Source organism: Homo sapiens, chromosome 4, assembly GCF_000001405.40.
Source record: "Homo sapiens chromosome 4, GRCh38.p14 Primary Assembly".
NCBI classification, from domain to species: Eukaryota; Metazoa; Chordata; class Mammalia; order Primates; family Hominidae; genus Homo; species Homo sapiens.
In genome coordinates this window covers 113,351,249-113,377,439 of record NC_000004.12, presented here as the reverse complement: position 1 = coordinate 113,377,439, position 26,191 = coordinate 113,351,249, and the positions used below count along the sequence as shown (strand labels likewise).

The 26,191-nt window shown below is 39.1% G+C and overlaps 1 protein-coding gene across 73 annotated transcripts in view, besides 3 other annotated features; it reads right to left on the bottom strand.

Moving 5' to 3' along the window:
- Window positions 1-26,191, bottom strand: part of ANK2 (ankyrin 2) — a 678,115-nt gene that overhangs the window by 6,297 nt on the left and 645,627 nt on the right. For 33 of the 73 annotated variants that reach the window (NM_001386148.2, NM_001354269.3, NM_001386187.2 and 30 more), the window contains 7 exons: window positions 16,543-16,617; window positions 13,971-14,102; window positions 12,258-12,401; window positions 9,589-9,874; window positions 7,635-7,926; window positions 4,267-4,350; window positions 3,991-4,155 (listed from right to left, as the gene is read on the bottom strand). In NM_001386148.2, the coding sequence (NP_001373077.1) occupies window positions 3,991-4,155; window positions 4,267-4,350; window positions 7,635-7,926; window positions 9,589-9,874; window positions 12,258-12,401; window positions 13,971-14,102; window positions 16,543-16,617 (1,178 nt within the window). Of the gene's footprint in view, window positions 1-2,493; window positions 2,677-3,990; window positions 4,156-4,266; window positions 4,351-4,814; window positions 4,908-7,634; window positions 7,927-9,588; window positions 9,875-12,257; window positions 12,402-13,970; window positions 14,103-16,542; window positions 16,618-18,140; window positions 24,396-26,191 lie in introns of all 73 variants that reach the window. The other 40 variants (NM_001386186.2, NM_001386147.1, NM_001386160.1 and 37 more) reach the window with 9 other exon arrangements.
- Window positions 20,837-22,036: an enhancer, noted in NCBI's record as "CDK7 strongly-dependent group 2 enhancer chr4:114276560-114277759 (GRCh37/hg19 assembly coordinates)". NCBI's record gives its function as "activates an origin of replication core promoter dependent on BRD2, BRD4, P300/CBP, MED14 and CDK7 cofactors, with strong dependence on CDK7, by STARR-seq in HCT116 cells {active_cell/tissue: HCT116}" and the evidence as "EXISTENCE:reporter gene assay evidence [ECO:0000049][PMID:35650434]".
- Window positions 21,270-21,489: an enhancer, noted in NCBI's record as "active region_21837". NCBI's record gives its function as "activates an Ori minimal core promoter by ATAC-STARR-seq in GM12878 lymphoblastoid cells {active_cell/tissue: GM12878}" and the evidence as "EXISTENCE:reporter gene assay evidence [ECO:0000049][PMID:35858748]".
- Window positions 22,466-23,665: an enhancer, noted in NCBI's record as "MED14-independent group 3 enhancer chr4:114274931-114276130 (GRCh37/hg19 assembly coordinates)". NCBI's record gives its function as "activates an origin of replication core promoter dependent on BRD2, BRD4, P300/CBP and CDK7 cofactors, and independent of MED14, by STARR-seq in HCT116 cells {active_cell/tissue: HCT116}" and the evidence as "EXISTENCE:reporter gene assay evidence [ECO:0000049][PMID:35650434]".

Genomic DNA, 26,191 nt, shown 5'->3' with positions numbered 1-26,191 from the left:
ATATACAGTCACATGCTACATAATGACATTTTGGTTAAAAATGGACTGCATATATGACATGGTCCCATAAGATTATAATGGAGCTAAAAAATTCCTGTCACCTAGTGATGCTATAGCTGTTCTAACTTCATGGTGCAATGTATTACTCAGATGTTTGTGGCGATGCTGGTGTAAATAAACCTACTAAGGTGCCAATCATATAAAAGCACAGCACATACAATTATGTAGGGTACATAATACTTGATAATGATAATAAATGACTATGTTACTGGTTTATGTACGGTAAATACATTTACTATGTATAGTAAATACATAAATCAGTAACAGTCACTTATTATCATTATCAAGTATTATAAAAGTGATACTTTTTATCACTATTTTAGAGTGTACTCTTTTACTTATTAAAAAACAGTTAATTATCAAGGAGCCTCAGGCAGGTCCTTCAGGAGGTATTGCAGAATAAGGCATTGTTTTCTTAGGATATGACAACTCCATATGTTATTGCTCCTGAATACCTTCCAGTGGGACAATATGTGGAGGAGGAAGACAGTGATATTGATTATTCTGACCTTGTGTAGGCCTAGGCTAATGTACATGCTTAGGCCTTTGTTTTTAGCCAAAAAAAAAAAAAAAAAAACCTTAAAAAGTAAAAACAAATAATAAATTTAAAAAATTAAAAGCAGAAAAAAGTTTATAGAACAAGGATATGAAGAAAAACAATTTTTAATGCACCTGTGCAATGTGTTTGCATCTTAACTTGTGTTATTACAAAAGAGTCAAAAGTTAAAATAAATGTAAAAGCTTATAAAGTCAAAGAGTTACAGTAAGCTAAAGTTAATTTATTATTGCAGAAGGAAGATTTAAAAAAATTAAAGGAAAATTTAAACAAATGTAACATAGCCTAAGTGTACAGTGTTTATAAAGTCTACTGTAGTGTATAATAACGTCCTAGGCTTTCACATTCTCTCACCACTCACTCACTGACTCTCCCAGAGCAACCTCCAGTCCTGCAAGCTACATGGTAAGTATGCTATACAGGTAGAACATTTTTAATCTTTTATTTTGTTTATCTACTGTACCTTTTCTATTTTTAGATAGGGAAATACTTACCATTGTGTTATAATTGCCTACAGTATTCAGCACAGTAACATGCTGTGCAGGTTTGTAGCCAGGAGCAATAGGTTATACCATATAACCTAGAAGTATAGTAGGCTATACCACCTAGGTTTGTGTAAGGACATTCTACAATGTTCACACAATGACAAAGTTGTCTAATGATGCATTTCCCAGCACATATCCCTGTCATTAAAACCCACTTATGCCTAGTGAACACTAGGCATGTGGAAGTTATTTATATCCTACTGCTCAAGGTCATCACCAAGGTCTGATTTTTCACTCATGCAAAAATTTTAAAAATGGCAACCTCTGGCATAAGTGGGTTAAGCAATGCATGACTGTACTATATAATACTAATACTCCAGAGCGAAGATGGCATCCTGTAATCAAACCCATTTTTATGTCACTAAAACATTCACTCTAGGTAGAATAAAAAAGCTTCATGTCATAATAGCTCCATGCCAATTTATTTCAAGTTTCACTTCCAAATTAACTTACAAAATTTGTTTTGGTTTTCAGCATTTGGGGATTTTAGTAAGAGTTTGTGGATCTGTTACTGTGGACCCATTTTCTTTTTCTTTTTTTTCTTTTTTTTTTTTGAGACGAATTCTCGCTCTGTTGCCCAGGCTGGAGGGCAGTGGTGCAATCTCGGCTCACTGCAAGCTCCGCCTCCCAGGTTCACACCATTCTCCTGCCTCAGCCTCCCGAGTAGCTGGGACTACAGGCACCCGCCACCACGCCTGGCTAATTTTTTGTATTTTTAGTAGAGACAGGGTTTCACCGTGTTAGCCAGGATGGTCTCGATCTCCTGACCTTGTGATCCGCCTGCCTCGGCCTCCCAAAGTGCTGGGATTACAGGTGTGAGCCACTGTGCCTGGCCAACCGTGGACCCATTTTCTAATTGTTGGAAACCAGAACTTAAGTAATTGTAAATGCTTTTAAAATTTATGGACATGGAATATATCTGAATTTTCTTTAATGTCTATCACAGATTATATTTGAAAAGACTGGCTAGCAAATATAATTTGCAATGTCTTTATTTCTTTCCCTTATTAATTGACAAAGCAAGACACTTCTGTGACTTTTAAACAAGATGTATAATCATATACCAGCTCCAGAGATTCTGAGTCTGATTCAGCAGAAGCAAATCCTAGTTACCTGGATTTTTAAAAGCTGTTAAGGTGACACCAATGAACACCACAGTTTAAGGAAACGTTACTCTGCAAGTTATTCAAACAGGAGTTCTACCCTCTTGAATTATTCTGCACCTTTCCATGAATTCATGTATAGAATGATACAATGACAAACGATTTTCTTTTCAAATGCAAAGCAACATAAAACACACACATAAAAAGACAAATGATGATGCTTCTATACCTCTTCAAAGTCATCTTTGGCTGAAGGAAGATCAGTGGCTAAACTAGAATCCCCCAGATGTTTCTCCATCCTCTCTCCAAGTACCACAGTTGTTTTAACAACTTTGCTGACTCTACGGCCTTCCACTGGCTCAGCCTGAAATTGTGAGGTACTGGACAAAATGCTGGGCTCACACAAAGTGACCTAATGATCGAAGGACACACAATAGACAATGTCTGATTGCCAAATGTAACTATGATGAATTTTTTCTATGTTAAAAAACAAAGGACAAAACTATAAAGTTACATACTGGCTTTCCAGAAAACAGCAATGGGAAGCAGAGTTAGAAAAAAACGAACTATAACCTATTGGTAATATCTACATCATGACTGTATCTCCACAACACCAAAGCAATCTTAATTAGTCATTTGAACAAAAAGTTATCAGTTTTGTGAATAAGAAACTGCTCAGTGTAATACAGACATAATAATATGTGAAGAAACTCTCTTTTCTCATGTTTAAATAATTTCTTTTGGTATTACAAAGATGAAATTAGCCCTCAAAGGAGGAGCTCTAAAAGCTATGAGAAACTGAAAAGTAGATTTCTAGAGAATCTCATGTGTATAATATAAAATTTTGAGGATGTGAATGAATGGAAAATAGAATTTCACAAACTATTTGTCAAAACAAGTAAATATGTCCCTGAAAAAGGGAAGTAAAACAGAAATAAATTAAAGTATAGATTGCCAGGTGCAGTGGCTCATGCCTGTAATCCTAGTACTTTGGGAGGCTGAGGCGGGTGGATCATTTGAGGTCAGGAGTTCGAGACCAGCCTGCCCAACATGGTGAAATGCTGTTTCTACTAAAAATACAAAAATTAGCCAGGTGTGGTGGTGGGTGCCTGTAATCCCAGCTACTCGGGAGGCTGAAGCAGGAGAATTGCTTGAACCCGGAGGTGGAGGTTGCAGTGAGCTCAGATCACGCCACTGCTCTCCAGCCTGGGTGACAGAGTGAGACTCTGTCTTAAAACAAAAAACAAGGATAAATCAAAGAGTTTCTCGATCCTGATTTTAGTAACTCTGCAATGCAGAAATCTGAATATCAAATATTTATCTAGAGTGACTTTCTGAAGGCTGGTGTGCCAACCAGGCACAAGCACCACAGTGCGTTTCTACACGGTGTCTCCACAGCATACTGCTTGCCCAGCAAATAGAATTGTATTCTTTCAAAATTTGACTTTTGGATTTCTGCAGTGGTCAACCATGAATTAAATAAAGAATAGATATTTTTAAAAAGACCAAACAAAAACAATGAGTATAATGCCTACAAGTCTCCCTGATGGCTGTCTTAAAATCACATAGAATCATGAAAACAAAAAGGTGAATGTGCAACTAAGAGCAAACTGCCACATGAAAGGGAGAAGTGAGGAAAATATGAATAAACAATCTCACTCATCTTTCTTGAGCTCTATTTTGTTCCTCTCCATCAAATGGGTTTTAGAGAATCAGGTTGTCTCACCTCTGACTGCTCGGTGTCACTCTTCAATACAACACGCTTTATAACTTTGGAATAGCCATCCCCTTCCTCGATGTTGACAGGTTCCTGTGGCATTCCCTGCACCATAATCTCTTCTTTCTCTGTGCCTTCAGAGGATACATACCGCCTAATGATTTTCCTAGTAACCTGAAATGTATTTCATTTGTGTATCTTATTTTTGTGTGACAGTACCATGGAATTGATAAATTTTAAACAGGAAGTTTGTAATCAACCCTGTTAGGATATACTAGACAATACCTTCTTTACCACGGTGTGTCCATGCTCATCAATGTATTCTTCTTCTGTGACTGTTTCTGGGGGTATTTCAGGCATATCGTCTCCCTAAACAGTTGAGAGAAAAGGGTCACTGTGGTGTTTGGCACCAATTCTGAGGAACTACTCCCAAGTGCTTATAATGTGAGGAATGTTAGAAAATCAAAGGCGATGTTGAGAAGCATTGCTGAGATACAAAATCCTGTCAACTAGTGAAAAACTCAAGTGGGTAATAACATGCTTAGGAGAATCTGACCAAAGTTAGATAAAACTTCAACAAAAATAGAAAAGCGAGAGGTGAGGTGGGTGGAAGTGAAGAAGCCAAGTCTTGCTCTTGCTTGGTGGCTCTCCTGGAGGAAAGCTGGAACCACTGCATTTGTTTGCAAACAGAACTTATGAGAGTTAAGGGATCTGCTTTTGAATGGCCATGCACTACCTAAGGAACATGCCAAGCCTTCATTGATCCAGGTTGATCACTCTTAGAATATGGGGACAGGACTGTCCCTGACGTGCAGTAATTTAACAGTGGGTACCTGAATAATCACTCGCCGGCGGACAACCCTGGTAGTTACCATCGCCTCCTCATCTGAGCTGGCCTCCAGCTCCCCTAATTCCTCTGTTAGCTCCTGGTGGAAGCATGGAAGCATTGCTTTGTTTAACATGCTAAGGAATGACTTCACTACTGGTTTCTTCTTTAGCTTACATTGTATTGTGAAACTTTTATTCATGGAGGCTTTGATGGACAAGTTGGTAGAGGTGAAAACAAATACGTGCTGGTCTCAGACATCAACAAAAATAGAGTGTTTTGGTTTTTTGTTGTTGTTGTTCAATGAATGAAAAAAAATTCTGGAATTCTGAGAGCTGTTGGAGAACCCATCTGTCAAAATCTCTCCAAAATAAAAAGCAGCTTGCTCATGTGACTTCTTTTACTTAAACTCCTAAAAAAAAAGCCTGACTGTAAACATAGACCCTAAGCAGTTCAGTAAACACTTATGAGCCACTGACACTGGTGCTTAGGCTTGGAATTATTCACCCAAAGGTATAGGAATATCCCCTGTTTCTAGCAGAACTTTTTGCAGGAAGTCAAAGTTTCCTGTAGCTATTATCTAACCAATAGTGCATCTCCCTGGCATCAAAAAAAGGTAGACTATGAATAATATTAGAATAATTCTATGGAGAAGTTGAGATAAAGTGGTCAATAGTATTTTAGGGCTCTGGCCAAAAGCCAGAGATAAAGCAAAAAACATAATTTTAGCTTAGCACACATTACCTTAGGAGTCATATATTGAATTACTCTTCCCTAATGAAATTTTGTTTTTAAAAAAGAGAAAGCTCAAGTAGATTTACTTAACACACTGTAAAACTCAAGTTATATGTTTACATTTGTCTCTGCTAAAGGAAGACCTGTAAATTCTAAACCAAATTATATTTTAAATATAATCAGGAATCTACTGCCTAGAAATATGGTTGGCAAGAAAAGTGATTAAAATTGGATGCCCAAGTTAGGGTTATGAGAAATAAGGGTCCACATGGGAAGCTTAAGAGAAATGCCTGATACTCATCAAGAATAAGTCGAACAGGCCTGTATAAATTATGTGAAATTCAGAGTGACTTATACAAACATATTCCTTTAGTATAGATTAAACATATGTATTATCCAGATAATTGTTTCAAGTCTAACTTCACTAAGCCTATGGATTCTTAGGTTAAATTTGGTAACTTTTAGCCTAGATAACATGTAAGAAACATTTTTAGTAGTACTCATTCAAGCCAAGAATTTGAGAGATGAATAATTCTATGCAAAAGCAAACTTGGAATAAAAATTCATTCATGGCATGAATTTATTATTTAAGAAAACTGCCAAAATCAGGACACAGTTCTCATCTGCCTGGATCTTTCCTAATTTTAGTTGTGATTTCAGATAATTCCTAGCAGCAGATCTCATTCTTACAGTGAACAAAAACAAATGTGTGTCTTAAGCCCAAACACATGCTGTTTCACTTTATTTGCCCCCCAAAATTTCAATTATTTTGTTTAACTCTTCTTTTACTACTAAGCTTTATATTAATGCTCTAAAAACACTTTGAAATATAAAGTGTTTTTGAATTCTATTACTTTTTAAAAGAAAAAACAATATCTAATTTAATTTATATTAAATTAAGTTTAATTCATATTAAATTAAGTTTAATTCAAACAGATTCTCATACTTTTTTTGTGGCTGAGAATCCTCTGGGGAGTTATTTAAAAGGCAAATTCTTGCTTTCCCTCCCCACCCTGGGATTCATTCTAATTCAGGATTTCTGAGGAGGGATCAAGCTCTCCAATCAATTCTGACGTATGTGAACTATATAGACCACATTTTGAGAATAAATTGTTGATCAATTTCTTTTTTTCTTTTTTTGAGACAGTCTTGCTCTGTCGCCCAGGCTGGAGTGCAGTGGTATGATCTTGGCTCACTGCAAGCTCCGCTTCCCGGGTTCATGCCATTCTCCTGCCTCAGCCTCCGGAGTAGCTGGGACTACAGGCACTCGCCACCATACCTGGCTAATTTTTTTGTATTTGTAGTAGAGACGAGGTTTCACCATGTTAGCCAGGATGGTCTCGATCTCCTGACCTCATGATCCACCCGCCTCAGCCTCCCAAAGTGCTGGGATTACAGGTGTGAGCCACCGCGCCTGGCCAATGGTTAATTTCTTAACATGGTCCCCACCCCTTTTCACAATTTTAAAACTCACTTAATGACAAAGGAAGCGCTATGATGCAATCTTATGCCACCGTCAGGCATTTGGACATTTAATTTAGGTACAATGTTCTTTTTCTCAGTCATTCCTAAAATAAATCTTAAAAAAAAAAATCTAACTTGGAAATCATCTTGCCTCTAATGAGAAAAATTTATTTTGGCAGCTAAACCCCACCCAATATCCACAGTCTGTGTGCTCATCACCTGGCAGGCCAGAGATCTAACAAGCCTGCTGGTCCCAGCACATCCCATGGCTGACTTACCTGGTGCTGCTAATCTCTGCCACCAGGTTTCATGCCCAAGTTTACTAATTTTGAAAAGCTCCTCCAGATATATTGTTTCACCACCGTATTCATTTTTCTTAGCAAAAGACTTTCCAATGATAAGATCAGGGCTCATGGTCAAATCAACAGCACTGGAACTGTGCGCCATTTCTTCAAGATTCATCGGCTCTCAGATTTTAAAAGGGATTGAGGGTTTCCATGTGCCAGGTTAATTAATTTGGTTAACTTTTTTGTTTTGAAGTGCAAAAAATAAACCATCATAGAAATGGAAACTGGAAGATTTGTAGCTTTGTTACAGGTGGGCGAGAAAGTGGAGAGGAATGTCTTACCTTTTCAAAAGCTGCATCTTCATCGAGTCTTTCACAGGTCTCAGGCTGGTTATCGGCAGACTCCACTATTACGAGGCTGGTTTTCCGCGGAGAGCTCTCCTCTCTGTGCTCTGAGGGCTCTTCGGGTTCTTGTATGATGGGAGAGCCTCCCCGCTCGCTGGATGTTGGGGTCTGGAGGTACAGCTTCTCCTCCTCTGCAGGGGTGCTAACTTCCTCAGGTGTCTTGCTGGGAGAGCTGGGTACTATCATAGCCTTCTGAGTCTCTGATGTTTCTGTTCCTGGAGTTGTCACACTGGAATCAAAAAGCCAAATGAGACTTCAGGGACATTTGCATTTCACCTCCTGCTCAAGCAAGGAAATCGAAAGGCAAGATGGAGCTGGTTTTTCCATAGTCTATGACAGTCAAAATAGTTTTTGTACATTTGGCCAAGAAAGGACATTTGAAGAAAAATAATATGACAAGATATAGAGTTGTAGCTCATTGATCTAGCACTGGCAGAGAGTGATGTTATTATTCTAAAGACAAAAATTATCCTAAAATGTATTACAGTTACCCAACCTCTACAATGTATATAAGTTATAGTTTCATCTTTTCTTTTATAACTCAAGGTGATATTGAGGATGCGAGGAATTTTACATAAGTATTTGTAGATAATAAGGCTTTTGAAGCAAGAATAAAAATTTGGCAGAATTACATAAATCCCCATGTTAATATAGTTATCATAAGTATAAATACAAGGAAATTCTTATTGTACCTCTGAAAAACTGTTTTATTTAATAATAGAGGCATCTGTTGACATGGAAACTTTTTTCATTGATATAGTCTGGAGTTACTCCAATGTAACTTTGATAACCTCAACTGCTAAATAAGATTATTGGCCTTTTCTGTGCCTTCTTTTGGTATTCAGTGCAATCTATCACTCCATAGATATTAAATGCCTAAAATGTCTCTCTGTTATCCTCTCCTCTTCTTCCCATCTTTTCCTTGGTCCTTCTCCTTCTTCCTTATATTTTCTTTAAAACCTACAGGTTGATGGGGCAAGGGTGGCTCAGTGGAAGAAGAGATAATTTCATTACTCATTTCATCCTCTTCTCATGTCAATGACCACAAAACTCACCAAATGACAAGCGAAATGTTTTGATACAATCTCATGACACCCTATTCTCAGACTTCAGGTTTAGGGATATGTTGGCCTTTCTCACAATTTGTTTTCTTTTCTGGACAATCAGTGTCAATTAAACAACTCTTTCTCCTTGGCTTCCATAAAGGCCGGAACTTAAATTCTGAGCCAAATTAGGCCTGCAGCTTCCTTCAGCCAGAAGCTCTTCGGAAGGCTTCTCTTTACTCCCACCCCAACTCTATTCCAACTCATTTTAATAGTCTTTTATTCTATGTGGTTAGTTTGCATTGCATTTATATTTTTATGATTAGTCCCCTCATAGCTTGGTTGAAATGCACCATTGGCTGTGGTATCTACATCATCACTGACCATACTCCTAACCAGCAATGGCACGATGAAGTGCTACAGAGCATATTTGAAGTGCTACAGAGCAAATGAGGTGCAGCAATATTATAAGTCATGGCCGTGTCATCTACAGGGAATTTTACAGTTTAGATGAAGCTTTCATAAACACACTTTTGACCCTGTGAGATGAGTCAAGTGTGTATTATTACTATAATTTACAGATGTGGAAATGGAGATTCAAAGCACATAAGGACTTGTTCAAAGTCACAGCTCTGGAAGTTGGTTCTTGTAGGTCTGTGCCCCAAACACTGTCACAATTATGTCTCTTACATGTTAACGCTTTTTTTTTCCCCTTTAGCTCTGGCACTTGTGTTTGGTAGGGTCATTTTAAAAAGTATTTAAAAACTAGTTATGCTTATATATGCCTGGCATCCACAATAGCCTGTTTCTTTGGTATTACATTTGACAGGCTTTCTTTGGAAACTCACAAATATTCCTGCTGATATTCCAGAGATGACTCTTCAGGCAGGTCTTGCATTTTCCCTGAGAAATCCTGTTGAACTTGCTCCTTGTGAGTTTGGGGAAAGAGTGCTGTTGCTGAGCTGTCCCCCTCAGTTTTGGGGACGCCATCCTGAAAAGTGGAATAACCAACAGAAATGTCTTCCTCTGAGACGATAGGAGGGTGATCGCAGGTCTCACTTTCTTTAGAAACAGCTTGCTCCTCTTTCTGCTTGTGCTGTGCAGTGCATAACTCCTCTTGAAGTACCGAGAACCCTAAAGGCAGAATGATTTAAGTATTTAGTTGAAGCTTACCTATATTGAATGGATATTTATTAAGTAATAAATATAAGAGGATAAAAAAAATAAGAAGATAAATGTGCTACATCCTGAGATGGGCCCATGGATTACAAAGATGAAGAAGACACTGTGTCCACCTTCAAGATACGGATCATGTAGAAGAGTCCACGCAAGTAACGGTCAATTCCAGTGCAGAGCAACTGGGTCATAGGTGCCAGTCAATGAGTGTGGGAGCACCTAACATGGGGTTAGAATTTGGAAAGAAAATGCAGAGTGTGTTACATGCCAAGGAGACCTAATGGCAAGTGGGAATTGACTGAGACAGTCAAAGCACAGAATCTGAAGAGTAAGATGAGTACAGTTAATAATCATCATAACAAACAATAGCTAATACATACTGAAAATTTATTCCATGTTAGGCACCGTTTCAAGTGCACTGCAAGTATTAACTTGATTAATACTCACTCTAACACTATAAGGATAGTACTCTTTTTATGTAGAGTCTTTTATGACAGGCTAAGGAATTTCATTATATCCAGGGAAATGAGGAGTCATTGAAAGATGTTTAGCAGAGGAGTGACTGGCATTCATCTATTGACTCATTTATTCAACAGATATATATTGAGCACCAACTATGTAATAAGTGCTGCTTAGATGCTGGATATATAGCAGTGAACAAGATATAAGATATAAAAAGCTTCCGTCCCCACTGAACTTGCATTTCTGCAGATATATATTTATGATAAATATTGGGAGAAAAGTAAACCAGGATAAAGGTAGAGGATAAATGGGGCTAGTATTTTAAATAGACTTGTCAGGAAAGGCTCTGCTTAGGAGGCGATATTTGAGCAGTGACCTAAATAAAGTGAGAGAAAAAGGTATATGTTGATCTGAGGAAAGAACATGCTAGGGTGGAGGGAGCAGAAAATACCAGGGCCCTGAAACAGGAGAATGCAGAGGGTGCTCCAGAAATGGCAAGGAGGCCAGGCGTGCAGGACCAGTGCGATAGAGACAGAGGTGGGAGATGAGGACAAGCTATGAGGCTCTTGCTCAACAGTTAAGATACATCATCATTCACATCCATGAGAAGTAACCTGCCACAGGAAGGAGAAACAGCCAGTAAAGTTAAAAAAAAAAAAAAAAAAAAAAAGGAAGCAAGAATGTCATGAAATTTAAGTAAAGAAAATGTTTTAAGAAGGCAGGCTTCACTATTCATGCCAAATGTTACCCAGAGGCAAAGTAAGTTGAAGAATGAGAACTGCCTGCTAGATTTGAAAAAGAGGAAACAATAGGTGAATTTTATAAGATTGACTAGAGTGAATTATAGAGCTCTAGAGGGAATGGGAAGAGAGGAAGTAGAGACAGGAAATTCAGACTGTTCTTTTAAGAGGTTTCCTGTGAAATGGATGGAGTAACAGCAATAATACAGGGGGGACATATAGGGTAAAAGGAGTTATTTGCTTTGTTTTGTTTTTAAAGATGGGATCTATTAAAGCATGGTTTAATGCTGTTGGGTATGGTCTAGTGGTAGGAAGCCAAAAGGGATACTTGCAGGAATGGAGTCCCTGATTGAGTAAAAGGAGATGAAATCTAGTACAAAACAAGAGATGATGGCTTTAGAAAAGTGAAGAAATTTTATCCATTTTAATAGGATGGAAGGTAGAGTTAAGTATATGCATTGAGATGCACTCATGTTGGTAGATTCGTGGTGGAAAAATATAGACATTTGCTTCTGATTATTCTTATTATTTTCTAAGAAATAGGAAGTTTGGTCATCAGCTGGGTATAAATAAAGAAAAGAGACAGTGTTGGAGGTTTGAAGGAAGAAGACAACATGTAAAATAGAGATAAGAGAGAGAGAGAAAAAAAAAAACAGTGTTAGAGACCACAAATGAATGAGAATAGGTTAGGGGAACTTTAACACTGAAAAGGTGGTAAGGCCAATGGCTGGAGGTCCCCGAGGGTATGAAGCACTGTTGGTGCAGAAGTAAAAGAGGAAATGTACAGTCACTGGTAGTGATATAGTCCTAGTTGTGAGCCTAGAAATACGTGGCTAAGGTAGCATAAAAAAATACAAGTGTAAGAAGTGCCACCATGGAACTGAGGAAAAGGAATTCAATGGATCATTTTGTTATCTGTGAAATAACAAAGAATGAGCATGAAGCGGAGGTGGGAGGGTGTGTAAAACAGGGAGGAAAGCCTCAGGGTAGCAAGGAAAAGAACATATGATCACCATAGGCCATGGTCTACCTTCTGAAAAAAAAAAAAGACAGTAGGTCCAGTGCCTCAATTAACCACACACAGACACAACACACACACACACACACACACACACACACATACACACACACAGTTTGACCTTCACTATGATCCAGTGTAATGGTCTGTTCAATTTCTGCATAACTATGACTGATGCGCTCCTGGAGAGGTTCTGTGTTGGTCTCCATGAGATGAACAATATCCATTCGGTTGATCTTGGTGAGACATTCAACGAGGTTGGTATCTGACACATTAGAGAAACAGCATTTATTATGTCTGAGAGGTACTCTTAAAAATCTCTTTCACTCAACTGCCTTACTAAATTTTTGATATCTGTACAGAAAAAAACAATCAAAGCCTAATTAAAAGTCTTTGTAAAAATAAGCCAACAGACAAAAGAGATATGCATAAAAAAAGTGGTACAGCATGGGCAAAAGCCCTAAAAGTAGAATTGTCAGATAACATACAGGACACCCACCATACCTGAATTTCAGATAAAAAGCAAATACTTCTTTAGTATAAATATGCCCCAAATATTACAAGGGATATGCTTATGCTAAAAATGTATTTGCTGACCACCTGAAACTTAAATTTAACTGGGCACCCTTCTGTTTTTATTTGCTAAATCTGACAATTCTACTTAGAAGAATGTAAAGACAAGGAATGATAAATGTAGACTGGATGTTATTTATGAGTAAAGGAAGCAGAAACAGAAGGTAATGCACTACCAGTGAAACAATGCTAAGTAAAGCAATTGTGTCCACTTATCAATATTTTAAAAATATTAGGGTTTGAGTAACATTACTGTTAGAAGTGAGGGCTGTTATTTAATGCGGTTCATACGCATATCGTGCAAGAGTTTTTAAGCAACATGCATACTTCAGAAGTGACAGTAGCTTGTTCTCATTTGCTTACAGTAGTTCACTAAGTTCTCACTCAACATCATTGATAGATTCTTAGAAAACAATGTTCTGGTCACAAAAACACTGCCAAACTTCTAAATAAAACCCCAAACACTTTTAATATTAAACACTGAAGTGAAAGTGAGTTACACATACATTTAAGAAAGACTAATAAACATAAGTAAGATAATTATTCAATTTTTGAGGAACCAATGCGTGATGGCGGTCATAGTGGTGGTGGGGTTCAATCAAGGAATAAATCTTTGCAAAGTGAAAATTGTAAGGAGCACCTCCTCCCACCATGCCATTCATAAACAAACAATAACAAATATGGTGGGCTCGCTGAGTACTTTCCTAAGGCATCATTTATTTCATGCATTTGTGTAATTACCATGGACTCTATACATTTTCATTTGACAACAATTTGTATCAATTCATTCATTCTTTTCCCAATCCCCTTATTCAGTTCAGGGTCTCAAGTGGCTGGAACTTAACCCAGCAGCTCAGAGCACTTTGCATGGGAACCAAGCTGGGAGATGATGCCATCCCATTGCAGGGGGCACTCACACACACCCACACTCACTCAGAATGGGATAATGTAGAAACACCAGTGAAACTGATGTGCACATCTTTGGGATGTGGGAGGAAACTGGAATACTGGGGAAAAAGCTACACAGACATGGGGAGGATACACAAACTATACACAGACAGTGGCCTTGCTGGGAATTGATTCTTTTTTCTCATCAATGTTATAAGGAAATGACACTGAACAAAATGATATTACTCAAGGACCCACTGTACTGCAGATTAATGGCATTTGCTTCTTTACTATTCTACTGAATTTGCAAGATGCGGTTGTTGAGCAAGACATGTCCAACTTTAGCCCAATATGCATATAGTTCCCCACTTACCTGTAGCATGTTTCCCATCCCTCTCTAGCCAGTACTTCAACAGTGCATGACTCTGGTCTTGAAGAGAGTTGGGATTTTCAATTCGAATTTGATGAATTTGCTCCTCAGTGAAATCCAGTTCTCTTGCTAATTCTAGAAGATAAAATACTACTTTGTAAACACATTAACTTCAAGGTTTCAGTCTCTACATTTTGCTTTGTGATTTTGTAAATGATGTGTTCTTTATATTGTGGTGAGTATTTGAGTTCCTTAATTTCTACATATTAGAAGTGACTCTTATATGCCTTTGTTCTTCTAGTACTAATTATGGATTTTTTCCCCTAAAACTGGGTATAGAATTTATCACTGCATAGTGAAAATAGTAAGTGTGAGGCAGCAATGATAAGATATGTATAATTCAGGCCCATTTGATTCCAAAATGCAAATGAGATCATTAATACTTGCTTATACTTTTAAGCAAGATAATGGAAAATAAATGACTGATAACAAAAGAAAAAAAGTTTCTCCCTTTAATTAACATAGGTGATGTTTTGAGTATTATAAATCCTGTTTCTGGATACTTTGATAAATACTAGTTGTAGCTATATTATGGTGGTTGGATAAATGCCTTTCTTTGATTTGATGTCAACTGAATAAGAGGTCGAGGAAGCATTAATTGATCCAGGGAAGAAGACACAAAATTTTCCTTTGAATTCTACTATTAACCTTCCATATGGATTGGGTGGGCCCAGTAGCTCATGCCTGTAATCCTAGAACTTTAGGAGGCTGAGGTGGTAGGGATTGCTTGAGGCCAGAAGCTCAAGACTAGCCTGAGCAACATAGAAAAACCTCATTTCTACAAAAAATAATTTTAAAAAATTAGCTGGGCATGGTAGTGTTTGCCTGAGGTCCTAGCTACTCAGGAGGCTGGGGCAGGAGGATCACTTGAGCCTGGGAGTTTGAGGTTACAGTGAGCTATGATTGTGCCACTACACTCTGGCCTAGGCAGCAGAGCATGATCCTGTCTCTGTAAAACAAAACAAAACAAAAACAAAATAACAAACAAAAAACCATTACATATGGATGCTTATACATTATGGGGTGTGTGTATGCGTGTGTGGGTAAATAGGGTGACCTCTTTTGAAGGCAATTTGACAATATCTTTCAAAATTAAAAATATACGTATCTTTTCCGCAGCAATTCTACTTCTAAGAATATGCCCTATAGATATACTCACAAAAATATACCAATGCACAAGAATATTTACTGCCGTTACTGGGAAACCACCTAAAGCCCATCAACAAAAGCCATTAATAAAATTATGGAACCTCCATATAGTGGAATTAAATACCCACTTAAAAGAATGAAATACATGTGTATATGTTAACAGACTACTTATGAGGAATATTATTCAGTAAAACTTTTCTTACTTTTAAATAACAGGCATAAATATAGGCACTGTATATTTTTTCTAAAAGCATGAGAAAGTATTAGCAGTTACTTCTGAGGCACACGGCTAGAAGATAGAAGTAGGTGTGAGAGTCATATTTACTTTTCATTCTATGTCATTCTATATGGTGGTAGGATTTGAATTTTTACCAAATATATACATATTGCATTTACTATGTAGGTATGGATACAAACATATTTAAAAACCAAAATAAATAATTCTGAATGTTATCTAGTAAGTCAATCACGGATAGTTTGGTATCATTCTCTCCCCTAAAACCCCGAATTAGTTAAGTCTGATCAGTATGTAAGAATTACTTTAAAATTATTACAAGTGAGAAAGTGGCCACTTCTCCAGTCATGTACTCTAAATTAGTAGTTATCTTTATGAGTATTATGGGCTCCTATTCATCACCAAATCTAAGAAATGGAAAGGAAAAGAATATTATTTTACAATGTTTGTCTCTTTGAAGTAGTCACAAGTGATATTAAAAAAAAAAAAAAAGCCAGACTGAGAATCTTGCTTTAATAGGTTAAGTCACAAGTAGATGAAAATGTATAGTTTTTAAAACATACAATTCATAATGTGTAAATAAAGTATATTGATTTTAGAATTCACTTTTCCTTAATAAATTATTAACATAAAATTTCTATACTTAAACACTCTCATTTCTCAAAAATATTAGTGAAATATCTCATTCATGTGTGTTTTAACACTTACCCAAAGCAATTTTTAGTGTTGTTTACTATGAAGATTTTTGACATAAGGTATCTAAAAGAAGGAGCCCTGGTTAAATCTCACATTAAATTTGATAAAAATTACATCTAAAAATGATTTTGAAACATAATAATCTCCCCCAAATTTAGATATCCACAACTGCCAACAGAGGTTCCTGAATGTTGGTATATTCTCTAAATCTTCAAATAGAAAGTTCTATTATTCTAAATTTCAGAGATGATAAAAGGCCTGCCCTGGGCTATACCATTAGCTGATGCAGAGCCCAGGTTTTCTAGTTCTTAGTTTATTCTTCTTTTCATGTATTCTTTCTCAAGAAAGTGGGGGGTACCTTTTATGCTGTGAATGACACCTGACTGATGCATCTATGTCAGGTTTTGTTGAAAACCTGGGTCACATTCTTTTTACCTGTCCAGCTGAAGCCAAGGTGATCAGCAATATAAGCCAGCCTTTCCTCGATCCGTTCCTGCTCATCCTGTGGATCTGGAGAAGGTCAAAAACAGAATGGCCAAAGGTTGTCTATGACAGGAGAGGAACCACAGTACTGATTCATTCAAAGAAAGGAAGTCACTTCTCCAAATATTTGAAAGCACAAACTAGATACTACATTTCAGATCATATTGTGTGTCTGATTTCTGGGGTGGAATGGGGAATAGATCTAATATGAATCATGAAAACCATCTGCTTCCATATCTCTTTAATCAAGACTAGTTCTAGACATAATTATATAAGTTGCTGATTTCTAGTAATCTTATGACTTTTAAATTATTGGAGAGAATACTGCCCACCAAGAAGACCACCATCTTGTTCATGAAACACCAGAGAAATCATAAATGGGATGCAGAAGTAGAGCAATTGGCTAGGACCTCCTATTATTGCTTGTGGAGGGATAGATCATTTCCAGGTCATGTCTGAAAGGAATCACATCAGAGATTCACAAGAGATGTTGATCATGAGCTGATCAGGCCATCCTGATTAGTGTGGCCAGAAACAACATTTGGTCCTGGTGACCTTGGAGAAACGAGGATAAAAGCATATGCATTTTTATGTGTATATTGTATCTGTATGCATATATGTCTTTTGGGCAAAGTTTCTGCCTTCTTGCTATTAAGCTTATATACTACTCACTCCTATAAACTATAATTTTCCCATTCATGTTTAACTCCCACTGATTGATAGGCAGCATTTTAGACCATGGTATAGGAAAGTTTGTATAACCTCAATTTAAGAATGACAGTCTTCATTGTAGAGATATTGGAAGAACACAGGCTACTTTTCAAAGCCATCTATGGTTTCCTTTTTTATAAGTCAAAGAGCCATCATCCCCTCACAGTCAACTTAAACTGTGCAAAGTTTGAGTTTTTGTTGTCTGCTGCATCTAATGAGAGTACATTCTCCATTCATCTACCACATAAATGAAAAGCATATTTTTACCTTAGGTTTGTTTGCTTAAAGTATTTACCAATGGTATCTGAAATCCAACCTTTCTGAATCAAAAACAGATCCACAACAATTAGAATTTCATGTTATGTGAAATCTTCTCAAGCAAATGGCTTCCTAATGATTACAAAATTGTAAGTACAAATTATTTTAAAGTATGCGAAGATAAGAAGAAAAGCAATGTCTTCATACTATGAAACAAAATACAATATATTTATGTGCAAAAGTGCTTAATTTGAGTCTAAGCTTGGGACTTCAGAACAACAAAACTCAAAGCTCGCATGGCCTTATTACGTGCAGAGGCTAAAAAAGGCAAGATCACTGTTGCCCGGTTATTATGTTTATGTTTTCCATAAGCATTCTCATTACTCAATCTTGAGATTGTTTTCTTAGACAAGAGTATACAGAGAAAGCACAAAACACAAAGGGCTTACACAAACACATTAGCCACTACAGAAAGCTTAAAGAAAATGAGACACAAATCATCAAATAAAACAAACATACAAAAAAACTATATCAATTTTATGACATGCGTAGCACAGGGAATCCCGGTGGCTGGCAAATACCTTCAGCATGGTCATGGCCATTTTCATCAGGGATGCGTTCAATCAGAGTCTCAATAGACTCATCCCAAATGGGCCTTGTGTCAAAGATGTCCTCAGGAACTGAGTGCTCGGTCTCAACAGGTGGCAGATTTTCAATTACTGATACTTCCAGGGCACTACTACTTTCATCGTCTGAAACTATTTCCTGCTCCCTCTCTGACTGTGTCAGCCTATCCACTAATTTGGAAGCCTCATCACTAATCTCCTCAAAGAATTCTATGGAATTTCTGTAAAGGTCAAAGAAATGCTCCTTACTTTCTTTTGTGGGGCTCGTGCCCCCCCTGCAGGAAGATGTAGTGCTTCTGCTCTTAACTGGCAATCGGGATGTAAGTATCTTTGGTCTTGTGGCCCCTTCTTCTGATTCTAACTCAAGTTCCTCGGCCCTCTCTCTGCTCTCTGTTTCTGTCTCAGTGTAACTTCGGGTTTTTACTGGGCATTTGGTCTTTGAATCCAAAGAACTAGCATCAGATTCAGATTTGCTTCTATTATCTGGTGCGATGCTTGCCATGTCCTGTCCCTGAGGAGCCACTGTCTTCTGGACAGAGGTGTCTAGATCTGAGAGCTGCTGTTCAACTCTTTGGAGGGGTACTTTGACAGGGAGTTTGGACTTTGGTTTTGCTTCATCCGCCTTATTTTCCTCATCTACACTGGATAGAAAATCTTCAGAAACTGAACTCTCATACTCTGCAGATGGAGGTGCTGGGGTGGAAGTGGGCATAGTCCTTACAGGAATTTTGGATTTGCTTTCAGTAAAAGGCACATTCTCCATGGGTGCAGTAGGAATCTCGATTACTGATTTCTGTTCTTCTGGGGAAGAATCGGGAGAATCATCACCCCTATCTGAATAAACAGACCTGGTGAGTGTGGAAAAATCTAACTGGACTTGTACAGCTGGTTCAGAAGAGTCGGGGCAGGATATCTGCTTTACACCAGAGAGAGGAGGTATATCACCCGTTTGCACGGTGGGGAGGTCCTTGGTCCCTACACTAACAGCTTCTTTTGTAGGTGTTTCAGTGGAGGCTGAAATCCCCATTTGGGAGTTAAGTTGAGCATCCGAAGCAGGTATTTCCTCTACTTCCTCACTCACGTCATCTGGAAGTAAGTCTGCCTCATCATCCACTGTTTCTTTTGATTCTGAAAGTGCTAGTGATTCAGCTGATGTCTCCAGCGGTAGGGGATCAGCCCCAGTAGCCCCTTCTTTCACATCTTCAGAGAGAGTCTCTTCCCTGGATTCTTGACCAATTTGGAAAAAGTGAAAACTTTCATCTGCATAGGACCTTTTGGTCATATCAATGGCACCACTTCGGGTCATTTCAAACAATTTTCCTTCCTGAAACAGAAATGGGTTTTGCTCACTTGTTGGGGTCCCCTCTTCAGTTGGGGTCCTAGCAGGAGTGGTGTCAGGGGTGGTACCCTGTGATTGTCTGTCTACCATCAAACCAAATATCTTTTGTTCTTCCTCTTTCACACGAGCCTCAAAGGCTTCATCGTCTTCCCGAATTTCACTCCAAGAATCAGAATCCACATCAGTTTTTGTGATGATGACTTTGCTTATTTGTTCACCAACAACTGTTGTTGTAGCGGACATAGTAGGCTCGAAAGATGAAGAGACACTGTCTGATTGCATTTCCCACAAGGTACTTTCCTGTTGGGATTCCATTTTTATGTCCTGGCCCTCAAAATTAGATTCTTTGCTTAAAACAGTTCCACTAGAGGAGCTTGCCACTACAACGTCTTCAACAGGGGATGTGATGGTAACAGAATACACTTCAGAAGAGTGAAAACTTGTGGTGTGATTTGCATCTGTTTGGGTTTTGCTTTCTTCACTAGAGAAAAAAGATTGGGAAGGGACATTTTCATAAGGGCTAGTGATTTGTGGATCATAGATTTCATCATTCTCAGCTAGGTCAGACACGGGAACATCCATGGAAAATCTATCTGTTTGAGTAGTAATGGATGAGTCTTGAGAGGGGCAGTCCTTTGGTAAGTTCTCAAATGTTTCATCAGTTTTTGTGACCTCTGTTTTTTGAATAGAAGATGTGGCAGATATGTCTTCATCTAATTCTTTTCCTTCAGATACCAAACAATGAGGCAAAGAGGATGAAGATGAAAAGCTTTCACTGGGGCAATCTGCTTGTGGAGATTCTGCTCTAGAAACATCAAGCTCTTCTCCCTCTGTGTCTTTTTCATGAGTGCCTTGGAGAGCTAATGATTCTTTATAGATGACTGGCTGTTCATCAACATCATCACCAGTCGGACTCTGTAGACCTGAAGAGACAGGAGCAGCTGAGCTGCTAGGACTCATGGCCTCACATCCATGGCCATCACAGATTTTTGGCTGATCAGTGTCTCTGTTTAGCTTATCATAAGACCTGTCTTCAGCCTCAGTGGAAACAGCATGACGGTCTTCAGCTAAATGGGATTCAGAATCTTTTTCTTCTTCTGATTTGCCTGGCTCTTCCTGAGTATCTTCATTCATCTTGAAAGTATATTGTTTGGAAACGACAGGCTGGAATTGTACTTCTTCTGGACTGGAATTGGAGTCCATGCTTGATGGAAGTGGAGAAGGAGGTTGTACTCGAATCACTGGTTCTGGTAAAAGGCCTGAGTCAGCACCTTTTTTAAGCTGTGCCAACTCAGGTTCACTTTCTGAGGAGGAAGACACCTTCCTGCTCTCCGAAGTTACTAACACAGGGACACCACTTTCATCCTCCCCACTGCCTGTATGTTTTGGTTCATCCACATCTACTGAACAGTCAGCATCTGGGTCAGAAGATGAAGAAGATTCTTCTTGTTTGGGTTCTTTTTTGTAGTCCCTTTTCTGCTTTGCTTCTTGTTCAAGTTCATCAAACATTTTGATTTTGGTTACCATTTTAAACATCTCCTCTTCAGGTGTGAACCTCTTTTTCTCCCCGTTTTCTGAATCATCCTCCTCTGCACATTCATGAATCACAGCTGGTTTTGGTGTACTTACATCTGTGGTTTTGGGTGTAACCTCATAGCTGACTTCTTCAGAGCTGGGGGTGTCAGGAGAAAGGGGGCTCTTCCCTGAGCTCTCCATGAGCGATGTCTGCTCAAGACTGTCATCCTCAGCACTGCCATCAGGGTCTCGGAGTAGCCGGGACCGCACAGAGGCCACTTCCGTCAAGAGTTCTGTTTTGGCAACAGCTGCAGGAAGAGGAAAGTGACTTGGAAAAATTCCAGCCTTCATCTTTGGTTCAACAGGGCTGCTTTCCAGAGAGTCACGGCAAGGGGATTCTTTCAGAGGACTTGGCTCCAGAGAATCAGGGGTTTTGTGTGAAGAGTTATCTTCTAGCACAGGGCTGGCTTCCAGAGAGTCTTTGTGGCTCACTGCTAATGAGTCATCAGCCACAGCGCTGAGGACTTCGCTATCTCGGCTAGGGAGTGCAAGTTCTAACCCTTGGGGACTTCTAATGACTCCCTGAGGTTTTGATTCAGTTCCTGTATCTGTCTTTACAGAAGCCTCAGGCAGCGGCAAGGCCTTTGTCTCGTCTGAGGTGGCTGTGGATTCTTGAACCTCACTATCAGTTTGTGTCTTGTGGGCTGAACTACCAAAGGTACGTTGACCTTCATCACAGGCTGCCTCCTCAGTCAGTCCTGTAGGTGTCTCTTTAGCTAATGCTACACTACAGCTGCCTGTGCAATCATCTTGTCTTTTAGGGCTTGTGTCTTTGGGAGAGCCTAGAGTGGCCTCTTTCTGAAAACTCTCAGTAGAGGTCTCTGAGTCCTCAGTGACTGTGGCACCTCGCTCTTCAGAGCCACCAGTAATGTCTTTGGTCGTGGGATGCTCTTTTTCTGAACGAATTTCTGTGGTGGTTTCTGTCTTGGTGCTTTCCTTTGTTTCCCCAGTTTGCTCCTCACTTTTCTTTGGTGAGAAAGAAAGGCTTTCTGGGCTCGTCTCAGGGGTCTCTGCTAGGCCTTCATGCTTATAGCTTTCTTCTGAACTAATCTGAGGGGTCCCCTCCATCAGGCTGCCACACGGAGAGCCGGCTACCCCCTCATTCTTTAGGCTTTCAGAACTGCCATCTAAAGCACCGCTTTGTAAAGACAGAGCTGGAAGGAACTCATCTTTCATGTAGTCGAGTGGAAATGTTGTGTTGAAAGGACTAGTGAGTACTTGGTCTAAGTGAAGCTGTGCCTTTTCTGTCTCCTCACTCAGGCGGAATTGTTGGTATTTGTCATTGTCTTCCAACTCTTGCTTAATGACCTCAGAGAAGTCAGTGGAGGTTTTCCTATCTGGGCTGATCTGTAGATCCATGTCTCCCTGCTCATCAGCCATCTTTTCTTTGGGCACTTCGCTCTCTCTGTGGCTTTCTTCTTCAGGCACTGACTGAACAGGTTCAGGTATTTTGTGGCTGAGAACTTTCTCCTTTCCTCCAGCTGCATCTTCTTTCTTAACTCCTATGGAGGAAACACGAACTCCTCTTTTGGATTCTGCTGTGCCCGTTACCGGGAGTCTCTGGCCTCGTTTGATTGTCTGATTCTCTGTTTTCTGAGCTTCTCTCTGGGTTAGTATCGGCCCCTTTTCTTTTTCTACCCGAACTTTACCTTTCTCTTGTGGCTGCTTTTGTTTTGCTGATTTGTGCTCAAAGAGTCCAGTTTTATGTTTAGAAGGGTCCTGACCTGACTGGAAAGCCTTCATCAGCTCCCGAACAGACATGGTTTCCTCAATCCTCTCTGTTTTTGAAGTGGGGGATACAGGTGGTTGCTTTTCTGTTTTGCCAGAAGGTGACACAGGCAGGTGCTTCTCAGTTTTCCCAGCTGTTGATACAGGTTGGTGCTTGTCCGTTCTTCCGGAGGGTGAAACAGGCAAGCGTTTTTCTGTTCTCCCAGGCGATACTGGCGGGTGTTTTTCTGTCCTCCCGGAGGGCGATACAGGTGGACGTTTGTCTGTTTTGCCTGAAGGCGAAACAGGTGGGTGTCTTTCTGTTTTTGTAGATGACACAGGAGAGTGCCTTTCAGTTTTTGTCGAGGGTGATACAGGTGAGTGTTTCTCAGTTTTACTCGATGATGACGCAGGTGAATGTCTTTCCGTTTTTGCAGAGGGTGACACAGGTGAGTGTTTCTCAGTTTTACTTGATGGTGATACTGGAGGGTGCCTTTCAGTTTTTGCGGAAGAGGAAAGAGTAGAGTGTCTTTCTGTTTTAGGGGAGGGAGACCCTGGCGCATGTCTCTCTGACTTCAGAGAGGGTGACGCAGCTGGATGTGGCCTGTGGGTGGTCTTTTTTGGCACGTCCTCCTTGCCTTTGACTCTGATGGGCAACTTGCTTCGACCTTTCTGTTCATCTTCCACTCGCTTCTGAAGGGCCTTTACTTTGTCCTTTATGGAACCAATGGGAGTTTCTTCTATCAAAGGAGATGTGGCCTTGACAGTGGGAAGGGGTTCAGGGGCTAAACCTGGGTCTTCACCTAATGACTCTTCTGAACTACCTTTTTTAAGTTCAGCTTTCTCTGCACTAGCTTGTAAACCTTCCTCTTTTTGTTTCTGCTTTTCTTTTAATTTCCTTCTTACTGGCTTCTTTATTCCCAAGCTTGGTTTGTGCTGTTTCTGTGTACTCTGTGTCTCATCTGGGGGTATGTCTTTCCCTTCCTTTTCAGAGCTCCTGCCAACAGCCAGAGCCTCACATTTCTTCCCTGCCTTATCTTGAACTGTCTGCAGCTGCTCTTTGGGAAGAGGCACACAGGTATTCAGATCATCAGTAAGGTAGTTCACTAGCCCAGTTGAGTCTTTCTCTACTTTTCCTTTGATCTCTTTATCTATTCTAACTTCTACACATGGATATTCAGTGATTTCTAAAGGTGCTTTTTGCCTAGCCTCTTCTATTTCCTCATCACTGACAATAACCCATTCCTCTTCAACTAATCCTCTCTCAGACCGAGAGCTCTGCACACTGCTTTCATCTCTTGTGCAGGTTCCACTTCTCAGGATTTCATTCACTTTCTCTAAGTCCTCTTTAACTCTTTCAACGATTTCAAAAGGCTCTCCTGGCTCTTCCTCAGCAGCCTTCACCAGCTCCTTCACTTTAATAGAACCTGCCTTATCAGACACATCTGTGGTCAAGATGGCGGTCATTTTGATCAAATCTTGTTTCATCTCAGAAACTTCAGAGAGCAAGTCCGGACTTGCTAGGACAGGAACTTCATTAACCAGGTGACTTTTCAGGACAGATGTTTCTGTAGATTCTGTCTCATCATCTTTGATGTGAATGAAAAACATTGAAAGTAAAATGGAAATCAAAAAAGATATTGGCAAATGTAATCAGGACTGAAACGACACAGCGTCTTTTCCTGTGGTGGTGGTGGTGGGAGGGGCAACAAAATGGGCTGGGAATGGTAGATCCACAAGGCCTCAGGGTACAAGAGCAAAGCAAGGCTAACGAAAAAAAAAACAACTGAAAAGGAAAAATGAGCAGGAAATAACTTGCTTAATTTTTCTCACTTGTAGCACATCCACACATACAACAAAGCTAAAACAAGACGCACATACACACACAAAAAAACACTACATATCAAAACAAAGAACGCAGTGAAATTACACAGAGGTATCTCAAGATTGTTCAGATGTTACAGATCAATGTTGAAAAAAAAAAGAAAACCAACCATGAGGAAAAAATAAGAAAAAAAGCATTAGAAATTGCAGAAAGTTGATTTCCTCTAGGAGAAAGCCAGTAGTAGCAAGCTCAGAATAACATCTAATGATGTATATACATTTTTAATCATATAAAAGTCTGAAATTCAGTATGTTTAGTTCTACCAATATACAAAGACTATATAAAATACATCTGAATCAGCTGCAAACCGGCATTTCATCTAAGGGAAATTCACACCTAACAATGAAACAAACAGTCTGGTGCTACGAGGCATGGTCCTTTCCTTGGAGCAACCTCCTTGTTTAGACACAGAATGGACAGACCAAGGAGGGAAATAAAGGAAAGGAAAGAAAAACAACAGAAACAACAATTGTGATTAAACTTATAAGTGAGTCCAAAGTTAAAATGTGATGCATGGCAACCCAAGTCAGAGACAGTCACACGGGACACACACACAGTTTATGTAAGCCAAGTTATTTCCATGCAAAGCAAAGGTGGAGTAAAACGGCTGGGAGAGGCGGCCTTGCTGAAACGTATGGGCAGGAGGATGGCGGGAATTTAGAACAGATATGTAAAACATTACTGTGGCGAAGTGTACTTATTTCCCTATGAGTCCATGCATAAGCTGCTGAAGGTGGTATATTGAGGCTTAGGTTGTGGGGGCTTACACCCATTAAGGTTAAGGAAGAAAACTCAGTAAACTCTTCTAAAATGTACTGATAAAAAGACTTCAGGTAAGAGTCCCTTCCACAGAGCACTTCTTTAGAGATTAGTTTATACCTAGATGAAGATTATTTAATGATTATCTTTAAATCAAAAGCAAACTTGAGTCTGTATTTAAAACTTCTGAAACACTCAAAACACCTAGAAATCCTTCAGGAAAATCCATGGCATCATAGCAACATGGTAACATTTTTTTTTCTTTTTTTTTTAACAACTGAGCCATATGGATGAATTAATTTTTAATTCTTACTAGTTTGTATCAGGAGAGCAAAGTAAGAGGCCATTTAAATAAATGGAGTAGTTCTGAAGAAGAAAGTGGGAGAATAAAGTAAAATCACTTAAAAAAAGGAATCAGTGAGGGCAATGTGATATGTCATATAAACAAAAGTGCCTTCTCTTGGGAGAATCTGTATTTGTTGAGAAGATACAGTATGTGAATTTACACATATAAATTTATTAAAATAATTTATACCAATACAAATTTGTTCAATTATATAAACCAATGAAAACATCCAGAATCTCAAACATTCTAGATCTGAATAATGCTTTAACATGAGGGTAAGCCTCATTCAAAGCAACTTCCATAACTTAGTAGTAAATTACATTGTCCTAGGACTTTAAAAAAGCCCTCAGATCATTGTGTAGGGCCACATGAGCATATTAAACATGGTTCTAAGT